The sequence below is a fragment of the Homo sapiens genome, chromosome 11 (genome assembly GCF_000001405.40).
Source record: "Homo sapiens chromosome 11, GRCh38.p14 Primary Assembly".
NCBI classification, from domain to species: domain Eukaryota; kingdom Metazoa; phylum Chordata; class Mammalia; order Primates; family Hominidae; genus Homo; species Homo sapiens.
The window spans coordinates 78595460-78607088 of NC_000011.10; the positions used below are offsets into that span (position 1 = coordinate 78595460).

Genomic DNA, 11629 nt, shown 5'->3' on the forward strand with positions numbered 1-11629 from the left:
GACTATTTAACAGGCTATTTTATGCGAGTTGGTTGACATGGAGGAAAAAACATTTTTTTTTCCTCTGCTTTCATGCCACAGCAATCAACAAAGAAGACTTCTGTGACCTCTGGTTGTTAGAGTAGTTAGCGAGGCAGACGTGAGCAGGTCAGGAGAGGCCCCCTAACCAACCCCCAGGAATGTCAGGCGACCATCACGTGATCGTCAGGCGGTTGTTAAACTGTCTCTCTAAAATGATAATTGGTCACAGCTGGCATCAGCGGACGACCGTCTCCCAAAAGATAGAAAACATCTTGAGCTGGTGATCAGCAGCTTCCACATAAGATCTCAGGAGTTGGGCAAGTGGGCTTGAGTATGTGCTCTAACCGGCAAAATATCAGATGTATGACCTTCCTTTGGGGGTGTTAGACTGGTAAAATAAAATCGCCCCTACAGAGCATGTGCACAACCTCAGTAAATGCACTATGCATGTGGTCACCCCCTTGAGTGCTGACTGACACCTCGCATGCAGCGGTTGAACAACAGCCCACCCCAAGGGAAAAATTAAGGGAGGAGAAAGTAAAGCCCCCAAACCATGCCAACGTATAAAACCCCAAGTCAAGGACCAAATGGGGTACTTGGATCTCTCAAGTTGCCCGCTTGTCCCTCTTCCAAGTGTACTTTGCTTCCTTTTGCTCCTTTTCTAAAACATTTTTTTTTTTAATTTGAGAGGTTTTATTAGATGGTGGGAGTTTGAAGCTTTTAATTTTTTCTAATTTTTTTTTACAATGAACACATACAGCTTCTGTAATCGTTAAAGTAGTCATTTTAAAATGAATGATGGATTTTTAGAAAATTTTTTCTTAAGCACCTACAGTGAACTAGGTACTGTTTTTGATGTTTGTTCACATCGCTGCATGGAGCTTAATGTTCTAGCATGGATGGAGACGATAAATAATGCTCCCTACACATAATAAACACATTATTAGGATATTAGAATCCACTGAGAACATGGAGAAAAGAAAAAGTAAAGTAGAGCAAGGGGGGTTGGGAGTGCTCAGTGGGGTGGGAGTGCAGATTGCAGAATGGGCTTCATTGAGGAAAAAGCAGGAAGTCAGGAGTTGGCCCTGGGCATGTTCCAGGTAGAGGAAGCAGTGGGTGCAAAGGCCCTAAGGAGGAAACACAGCTGGGGTGTTCCAGCCACAGCCAGGAGTCTGTGCTGGAGCAGTGATTGGGAAGGTCAGGTCCACAGGAAAACATGACACTTCTTGGTTTAGATGATTAAGAAAGGTTGCCTTGTTTTCTTCCTGTCTACCTGATTTGTTCTGTTTCTTCTGCAGTTAAAGGACACTTACTCCCCCCACCCCCAACACACACACACACACACACACACACACACACACACACAAAATACATACATTAGGCCTCTAGTACCATATTAATTTGCTAGGGCTGCCATAACGAATTAGGCAAAGAGAAAGAGCTGAAAACAACAGAAATGTATTGTTTTACAGGTCTGTCGGCTAGAAGTACAAAATCAAGTTAGGGCCATGCTCCCTGTGAGACACGTCAGCAGGAAACCTTGCTTGGCTCTTCCTAGCTTCTGGTGGTTGTTGGCAATCCTCAGCGTTCCTGGGCCGCAGCTGCATTCCTCCAATCTCTGCTTCCATCATCACCTGGCATTCTCACTGTGTGTCTGTGTCTTTACTTCGGTATCTTCCCTCTCCTTTTTTTTTTTAAAGGCAAATGAAGAAAGTATTTATTTATACTAACACAGTATAAAGCAATTAATCCTCGCTGTTAGCCATAATTAAATTCCTCAAAACGAAGAATTTCAACTTGTGAGCTGGAGCAAATCTCCCTCTATGGCTTCCTGGGGAGGGCAGGCATCTTCTCCGGCTCCTCTCTGCACTGCCACACTGGGCTGGTGCTACTCTGTTCCTATTGATTCCAAAGAGTTCCTCAAGGTGAGAGACTGGTGAATTGACTTTGCAAGTTTTTTTTTTTTTTTAAATTATACTTTAAATTCTGGGATACATGTGCAGAATATGCAGGTTTGTTACATAGGAATACATATGCCATGGTGGTTTGCTGCACCCATAACCTGTCATCTACATTAGGTATTTCTCCTAATGCTATCCCTCCCCTAGCACCCCCCACCCCAAACAGGCCCCGGTGTGTGATGTTCCCCTCCCTGTGTCCATGTGTTCTCCTTGTTCAACTCTCACTTATGAGTGAGAACATGCGGTGTTTGGTTTTCTGTTCCTGTGTTAGTTTGCTGAGAATGATGGTTTTCAGCTTCATCCATGTCCCTGCAAAGAACATGAACTCATCCTTTTTTATGGCTGCATAGTATTCCTGGTGTATATGTGTCACATTTTCCTTATCCAGTCTATCACTGATGGGCATTTGGGTTGGTTCCAAGTCTTTGCTATTGTGAACAGTGCCACAATAAACATACATGTGCATGTGTCTTTATAGCAGAATCATTTATTATCCTTTGGATATATACCCAGTAATGGGATTGCTGGGTCAAATAGTATTTCTGGTTCTAGATCCTTGAGGAATCACCACCGTGTCTTCCACAATGGTTGAACTAATTTACGCTCCCACCAACAGTGTAAAAGCGTTTCTATTTCTCCACATCCTCTTCAGCATATTGTTTCCTGACTTTTTAATGATTGCCATTCTAACTGGCATGAGATGGTATCTCATTGTGGTTTTGATATGCATTTCTCTAATGACCAGTGATGGTGAGCATTTTTTCATATTTTTGTTGGCTACGTAAATGTCTTCTTTTGAGAAGTGTCTGTTCATATCCTTCACCCACTTTTTTGGGGTTTTTTCTTGTAAATTTGTTTAAGTTCCTTATAGATTCTGGATATTAGCCCTTTGTCAGATGGATAGATTGCAAGTTTTCTCCCATTCTGTAGGTTGCCTGTTCACCCTGATGATAGTTTCTTTTGCTGTGCAGAAGCTCTTTAGTTTAATTAGATCCCATTTGTCCATTTTGGCTTTTGTTCCCATTGCTTTTGGTGTTTTAGTCATGAAGACTTTGCCCATGCCTATGTCCTGAATGGTATTGCCTAGGTTTTCTTCTAGGGTTTTTATGATTTTAGGTCTTATGTTTAAGTCTTTAATCCATCTTGAGTTAATTTTTGTATAAGATGTAAGGAAGGGGTCCAGTTTTAGTTTTCTGCATATGACTAGCCAGTTTTCCCAACACCATTTATTAAATAGGGAATCCTTTCCCCATTTCTTGTTTTTGTCAGGTTTGTCAAAGATCAGGTAGTTGTAGATGTGTGGTGTTATTTCTGAGGCCTCTGTTCTGTTCCATTGGTCTGTATATATGGTTTGGTACCAGTACCATGCTGTTTTGGTTACTGTAGCCTTGTAGTGTGGTTTGAAGTCAGGTAGCATGATGCCTCCAGCTTTGTTGTTTTTGCTTAGGATTGTCTCAGCTATATGGGCTCTTTTTTGGTTCCATACGAAATTTATAGTAGTTTTTTTAAAATTCTGTGAAGAATGTCAATGGTAGCTTGATGGGGATAGCACTGAATCTACAAGGTACTTTGCGCAGTATGGCCATTTTCATGATATTGATTCTTCCTATCCATGACCATGGAATTTTTTTTCCATTTGTTTGTGTCATCTCTTACTTCCTTGAGCAGTGGTTTGTAGTTCTCCTTGAAGAGGTCCTTCACATCCCCTAAAAGGTGTATTCCTAGGTATTTTATTCTCTTTGTGGCATTTGTGAACGGGAGTTCACTCATGATTTGGCTCTCTATTATTGGTGTATAGGAATGCTTGTGATTTTTGCACATTGATTTTGTATCCTGAGACTTTGCTGAAGTTGCTTATCAGCTTAAGGAGACTTTGGGCTGAGACGATGGGGTTTTCTAAATATACAATCATGTCATCTGCAAACAGAGACAATTTGACTTCCTCTCTTCCTATTTGAATACACTTTATTTCTTTCTCTTGCCTGATTGCCCTGGACAGAACTTCAACAATAGTATTCAACAATACTATGTTGAATAGGAGTGGTGAGAGGGCATCCTTGTCTTGTGCCGGTTTTCAAAGGGAATGCTTCCAGCTTTTCCCCATTCAGTATGATATTGGCTATGGGTTTGTCATAAATAGCTCTTATTATTTTGAGATACATTCCATCGATACCTAGTTTATTGACAGTTTTTAGCATGAAGGGGTGTTGAATTTTATTGAAGGCCTTTTCTGCATCTATTGAGATACTCATGTGGTTTTTGTCATTGGTTCTGTTTATGTGATGGATTACATTTATTGATTTGCATATATGTTAAACCCGCCTTGCATCCCAGGGATGAAGCCCACTTGATCATGGTGGATAAGCTTTTTGATGTGCAGCTGGATTCGGTTTGCCAGTATTTTATTGAAGATTTTCACATCGATGTTCATCAGGGATATTGACCTGAAATTTTCTTTTTTTTTGTTGTGTCTCTGCCAGGTTTTGGTATCAGGATGATGCAGGCTTCATAAAATGAGTTATGGAGGAGTCCCTCTTTTTCTATTGTTTGGAATAATTTCAGAAGGAATGGTACCAGCTCCTCTTTGTACCTCTGGTAGAATTCGGCTGTGAATACATCCAGTTCTGTTTTTTTTTTTGTTTTGTTTTGTTTTTTTTTTTTTGGTTGGTAGGCTATTAATTACTGCCTCAATTTCAGAACTTGTTATTGGTCTATTCAAGGATTTGACTTCTTCCTGGTTTAGTCTTGGGAGGGTGTATGTGTCCAGGATTTTATCCATTTCTTCTAGATTTTCTAGTTTATTTGCATAGAGGTGTTTATAGTATTCTCTGATGGTAGTTTGCATTTCTGTGGGATCAGTGGTGATATCCCCTTATCTTTTTTATTGTGTCTATTTGATTCTTCTCTCTTTTATATTAGTCTGGCTAGCAGTCTATCTATTTTGTTAATCTTTTCAAAAAACCAGCTCCTGGATTCATTGATTTTTTGAAGGGTTTTTCGTGTCTCTATCTCCTTCAGTTCTCCTCTAATCTTAGTTATTTCTTGTCTTCTGCTAGCTTTTGAATTTCTTTGCTCTTGCTTCTCTAGTTCTTTTCATTGTGATGTTAGGGTGTTGATTTTAGATCTTTCCTGCTTTGTCTTGTTGGCATTTCATGCTGTCAATTTCCCTCTACACACTGCTTTAAATGTGTCCCAGAGATTCTGGTACCTTGTGTGTTTGTTCTCATTGGTTTCAAAGAACATCTTTATTTCTGCCTCCATTTTTTATTTACCCAGTAGTCATTCAGGAGCAGGTTGTTCAGTTTCCATGTAGTTGAGAGGTTTTGAGTGAGTTTCTTAATCCTGAGTTCTAATTTGATTGCACTGTGGTCTGAGAGACCGTTTGTTACGATTTCTGTTCTTTTGCATTTGCTGAGGAGTATTCTACTTCCAATTATGTGGTCAATTTTAGAATAAGTGCAATGTGGTGCTGAGAAGAATGTATATTCTGTTGATTTGGGGTGGAGAGTTCTGTAGATGTCTATTAGGTCCACTTGATTCAGAGCTGAGTTCAAGTCCTGAATATCCTTGTTAATTTTCTGTCTCATTGATCTAATATTGACAGTGGGGTGTTAAAGTCTCCCACTATTACTGTGTGGGAGTCTAAGTCTTTTTGTATGTCTCTAAGAACTTGTTTATGAATCTGGTGCTTCTCTATTGGGTGCATATATATTTAGGATAGTTAGCTCTTCTTGTTGCATTGATCCCTTTACCATTACGTAATGCCCTTCTTTGTCCCTTTTGATCTTTGTTGGTTTAAAGTCTGTTTTATCAGAGACTAGGATTGCAACCCCTGCTTTTTTTTGCTTTCCATTTGCTTAGTAAATATTACTCCATCCCTTTACTTTGAGCCTATGTGTGTCTTTGCACGTGAGACGGGTCTCCTGAATACACCGTTGGGTCTTGACTCTTTATCCAATTTGCTGGTCTGTGTCTTTTAATTGGGGCATTTAGCCCGTTTACATTTAAGGTTAATATTATTATGTGTGAATTTGATCCTGTCATTATGATGCTAGCTGGTTATTTTGCCCGTTAGTTGACGCAGTTTCTTCATAGTATTGACAGTCTTTACAATTTGGTATGTTTTTGCAGTGGCTGGTACTGGTTGTTCCTTTCCATATTTAGTGCTTCCTTCAGGAGCTTGTGTAAGGCAAGCCTGGTGGTGGCAAAATCTCTCAGCATTTGCTTGTCTGTAAAGGATTTTATTTCTCCTTCACTTATGAAGCTTAGTTTGACTGGATATGAAATTCTGGGTTGAAAATTCTTTTCTTTAAGAATGTTGAATATTGGCTCCCACTCTCTCCTGGCTTGTAGGGTTTCTGCAGAGAGATCCGCTGTTGTCTGATGGGCTTCCCTTTGTGGATAACCCGACCTTTCTCTCTGGCTGCTGTTAACATTTTTTCCTTCATTTTAACCTTGGTGAACCTGACAATTATGTGTCTTGGGGTTGCTCTTCTTGAGGAGTATCTTTGTGGTGTTCTCTGTATTTCCTGAATTTGAATGTTTGCCTGTCTTGCTAGGTTGGGGAACTTCTCCTGGAGAATATCCTGAAGAGTGTTTTCCAACTTGGTTCTGTTCTCCCCGTCACTTTCAGGCACACCAATCAAATGTACATTTGGTCTTTTCACATAGTCCCATATTTCTTGGAGGCTTTGTTCATTCCTTTTCATTCTTTTTTCTCTAATCTTGTCTTCACACTTTATTAAGTTGATCTTCAATCTCTAATATCCTTTCTTCCACTTGATTTATTTGGCTATTGATACTTGTATATGCTTCACGACATTCTCGTGCTGTGTTTTTCAGCTCCATCAGGCCATTTATGTTCTTCTTTAAACTGGTTATTCTAGTTAGCAATTCATCTAACCTTTTTTCAAGGTTCTTAGCTTGCTTGCATTGGGTTAGAACATGCTTTTTTAGCTCGGATAAGTTTGTTATTACCCACCTTTTGAAGCCTACTTCTGTAAATTAATCAAATTTATTCTCCGTCCAGTTTTGTTCCCTTGGTGGTGAGGAGTTGTGATCCTTTGGAGGAGAAGAGGTGTTCTTCTTTTTGGAATTTTCAGCCTTTTGCGCTGGTTTTTCCTCATCTTTGTGGATTTATCTACCTTTGGTCTTTGACGTTGGTGACCTTCAGATGGGGTTTCTGTGTGGACGTCCTTTTTGTTGATGTTGATGATATTCCCTTCTGTTTGTTAGTTTTCCTTCTAACAGTCAGGTCCCTCTGCTGCAGGTCTGCTGGAGGTCCACTCCAGACCCTTTTTGCCTGGGTATCACCAGCGGAGCCTGCAGAACAGCAAAGATTGCTGCCTGTTTCTTCCTTTGGAAGCTTCATCCCAGAGGGGCACCTGCCAGATGCCAGCAGGAGCTCTCCTGTGTGAGGTGTCTGTCGATTCCTGCTGGGAGGTGTCTCCCAGTCAGGAGGCACGGGGGTCAGGGACCCACTTGAGGAGGCAGTCTGTTCCTTAGCAGAGCTCAAGTGCTGTGCTGGGAGATCCGCTGCTCTCTTCAGAGCCAGCAGGCAGGAACATTTAAGTCTGCTGAAGCTGTGCCCACAGCTGCCCCTTCCCCCGGGTGCTCTGTCCCAGGGAGATGGGAGTTTTATCTATAAGCTCCTGATTGAGGCTGCTGCCTTTCTTTCACAGATTCCCTGCCCAGAGAGGAGGAATCTAGAGAGGCAGTCTGGCTACCGCGGCTTTGCCGAGCTGCAGTGGGCTCTGCCCAGTTCGAACTTCCTGGCGGCTTTGTTTACACTGTGAGGGGAAAACCACCTACTCAAGTCTCAGTAATGGTGGATGCCCCTGCCCGCACCAAGCTCAAGTGTCCCAGGTCGACTTCAGACTGCTGGGCTGGCAGCAAGAATTTCAAGCCAGTGGATCTTAGCTTGCTGGGCTCCATGGGGTGGGATCTGCTGAGCTAGACAACTTGGCTCTCTGGCTTCAGCCCCCTTTCCAGGGTAGTGAATGGTTCTGTCTCACTGGCATTCCAAACACCACTGAGGTACGAAAAAAAACTCCTGCAGCTAGCTCGGTGTCTGCCCAAATTGGCTGCCCAGTTTTGTGCTTGAAACCCAGGGCCCTGATGGCGTAGGCACCCGAGGTAATCTCCTGGTCTGCGGGTTGCAAAGACTGTGGGAAAAGCATAGTGTCTTTTTCAAATGGCTTTGGAAAAAAGTATTTACATGTATATAAATGATTACATGTATATAAAATGTACATATATGTGACATATATACATGTATATATAATGCATGCTTACACATAGAGACAGAGAGAAAGCAAAAAAGTAAATATGGCAAAATATTAACAATTAGTGTATAATATACATCCATATGTATATGTATATGTATATGTAAAAAGAAATTTCTTTTTCCTGGGATTGTGAGTCATGTACAAAATGATGAAAAAAAAGGAAGAGACTTATTTTTACCAGTGTTATACTCTGATAGTTGAATAGTACCTGTCCTGGTTCCCAAGTAGTTTCTAAGCCTGATGTAACTGCCCAGTGGGTTCTTCTGGCCCACTGCCCAGATAGAGCCAATTTATCAAGGCAGGGGAATTGCAATAAAGAAAGAGTTTTACACACATAGAGCTACTAAACAGAAGACTGGAGTTTCATTATTATTCAAATCAGCCTCCCTGAAAATTCGGAGGTTAGGGTTTTTCAAAGATAGTTTGGGAGAAGCAGGGGACAGGGGGATGGCCAGGCAATGGGTGCTTATTACTGATTGGTTAGAGGTACAATCACAGGGGTGTGCGAAATGGTCCTCACGTGTACTGAGTTGCTACTGGGTGGGGTCACAGGTTGGCATGTCCAGATGGAGCCATCTGCTCTCAGACATACACAAAACCTGAAAAGATATCTCAAAGGCCAATCTTAGGTTCTACAATAGTGATGTTATCTGCAGGAGTAATTGGGAATGGGGAAGTTGCATATCTTGTGACCTCTGGAATAATGGCTGGCAACTGTTGATGACTACACCTTAGCAGAATTCAGGGTCCTCTATCCTCTCAGCGTGGTGACCTCTCATTAGCTTTACAAAGGCACTTGAGTTATGGAAAAAGGCTATTATCACTTAAACTAAACTCAATGTCTCCCAAAGTTAGCTTGACCCAAGCCCAGGAATAATTAAGGGCAGCTTGAAGACCAAAGGCAAGAGGAGGGGTGGCCACATCAGATCTCCATCACTGCCATAATTTTCACACTGTTATAATTTTCCATTCTTCCTTTTCGAGAGCTCCAAGTTTCTTCCAATATATTAACCCTTTTTTCTTTTTAAAATTTTTATTTGGAAATTATTTCTAAGTCATATATATGAATAGTTCAAAGAATTCCCACATTCTTTACTCAGATTCGCTAATTATTACTATTTTGCCATGTTTACTTTATTGCTTTCTCTTTGTCTCTTTATATATGTGTGTGCATGCATTACATATGGATGTATATTATACACTAATTGTTAATATTTTGCCATATTTACTTTTTTGCTTTCTCTCTGTCTCTATGTGTAAGCATGCATTATATATACATGTATATATGTCACATATATGTACATTTTATATACATGTAATCATTTATATACATGTAAATATTTTTTTCCAAAGCCATTTGAGAGTTTCAGACATCATGCTCTTTAGCCTCCATATCCTACATTGTGTGTTTCCTAAAAGCAAGGATATTCTCTTATATAAATGCCATATAATGATCAAATTCAGAAAATATAAGATTAGCTAACACTATTTCATAAGATATAGTCCATTTTTCAGATTACGCTAATTGTTCCAATAATGTCCTTTATATAAATTTCCCTCTCTGACCCAGGATCTAATCCCAGATTACACATTGCATTTTGTTGTTATGTCTTCTTTCCCCACTCAAGTTAGCCAGAGTTTATTTCTATTGCTCATAACCAAAGAATCTTAAAAATACAATTTCCTTTTGTTTATGATACGGGAGTGCTGGGAAGGGAACAGTGTGGTCACTTTAAATGATACAGACGCAGGGAAGGGAAGTGCTGAGTAGAGGAGGGCATGGTCCCTGGCTAGGGCTCCACCCCCACGGACCTAGGTGAGGACAGGCACTCCTGCTTTCGCTCCCAAATGTTGCATTTTCCAAGACCACCCTGTCCCGTCATGCCCTCATCCTGGGCCTATAAAAACCAGAGACCCTAGCGGGCACACAGGCAGCCAGATATTGAGAGGAACACTTTGGCGGAAGAAGACACGAGTGGCTGGTCGAGAGCACGCTGGAGGAAGAGCCCACCGACAGACGTCAGCATGCTGGCACACCATCAACAGGTGGGATAAGGCAGAGTTTGGCTGGGACCACCGAGCAGCCCAAATCCAGGGAAAACCATCTCCCTTCTGGCTCCCCCATTGGCAGAGAGTTACTTCCACTCAGTAAAACTTTGCAGGCATTCTCCAAGCCCACGTGTGATCCGATTCTTCCGGTACACCAAGGCAGGAACTCGGCATACAGAAAGCGCTCTGTCCTTGCGGCAAGGTGGAGGGTCTAATTGAGCTGGTGAACACAAGCTGCCTATAGACGGCAAACTAAGAGAGAACCCTGTAACACCATGTCCACTGGGACAAGCTGTAAACATCCACCCCTAGACACTGCTGTGGAATCGGAGACCCACAGCCTGCCCATGTGTATGCTCCTCTAGAGGTTAAGCAGCGGGGCACTGAAGAAGTGAGACACACCCCATCGCATGCCCTGGGAGGGGGACAAGGGAACCTTTCACGTTTCACTTATAACCATTCATTTATAACCTTTATGATATAGTAAATCATATCATTTAATCTTTTCTTTTTTCTTTTTGGTTGAGACAGGGTCTTGGCTTTTTCACCCAGGCTGGAGTGCAGTGGCACGATCTTGGCTCACGACAGCCTCGGACTCCTGGGATCAAGCCTTCCTCCCACCTCAGCTCCCCAAGTAGCTGGGACTACAGGCACAGGCCACAGTGCCTGGGTAATTTTTTTTTTTTTTTTGTATTTTTTTGTAGAGATGGGTTTTTGCTATATTTCCCAGGCTGGTTTCGAACTACTGAGCTCAAGCAATCCACTTGCCTCAGCCTCCCAAAGTGCTGGGATTACAGGTGTGAGTCGCTCTACCTGGCCTATTTCATTTATTCTTAATCAAGTCTTCTAGGTAGTTATTTAAATCCCTGTTTTAAAAATCAGTACTATGAGGCTCAGAGAAGTTAAAAAACTTGCCCATCATGACACAGTTAAATTCTAGGGTCAGGATTTTAATCCAAGTCTTTTTTATTCTGAATTCCCTCTTTATTCCATTGCAGGCCTGGCAGATATTCGTAAACCACAATCCTTGCATCAGGAATCCTACAGGCTAGTGTGAAGTGAGACAGATAAACAGATAATGTTATTTGTTTGGCAGTAACACCTAACCACAACGGTATGTACAAGGTATAGTGGAACACAGTCAATGAACTGATTTCAAGAATGATGAGAAATACGGGCAGGGCTTCAACAGGAATAGAAGGAAATAATATCTGTTTTATTCCTTGATGCAAACTGGGTGTTTATAGATTGTATGTCTACTGTCCAAAGCATGATTAAAATCAATGCTAATCCACTAACCTCCAACGTATG

The 11629-nt window shown here is 41.5% G+C and overlaps 3 annotated features.

Annotated features, from left to right (window-relative positions):
* Window positions 9749-10250: an enhancer, noted in NCBI's record as "H3K4me1 hESC enhancer chr11:78316253-78316754 (GRCh37/hg19 assembly coordinates)". NCBI's record gives its function as "activates a minimal SCP1, AML or CMV promoter by ChIP-STARR-seq in naive H9 embryonic stem cells {active_cell/tissue: H9 hESC(naive)}" and the evidence as "EXISTENCE:reporter gene assay evidence [ECO:0000049][PMID:30033119]".
* Window positions 10251-10750: an enhancer, noted in NCBI's record as "H3K4me1 hESC enhancer chr11:78316755-78317254 (GRCh37/hg19 assembly coordinates)". NCBI's record gives its function as "activates a minimal SCP1, AML or CMV promoter by ChIP-STARR-seq in naive H9 embryonic stem cells {active_cell/tissue: H9 hESC(naive)}" and the evidence as "EXISTENCE:reporter gene assay evidence [ECO:0000049][PMID:30033119]".
* Window positions 10311-10515: a silencer, noted in NCBI's record as "fragment chr11:78316815-78317019 (GRCh37/hg19 assembly coordinates)". NCBI's record gives its function as "represses an EF-1alpha promoter that drives an FKBP-Casp9 reporter gene in an ReSE screen in HepG2 liver carcinoma cells {active_cell/tissue: HepG2}" and the evidence as "EXISTENCE:reporter gene assay evidence [ECO:0000049][PMID:32094911]".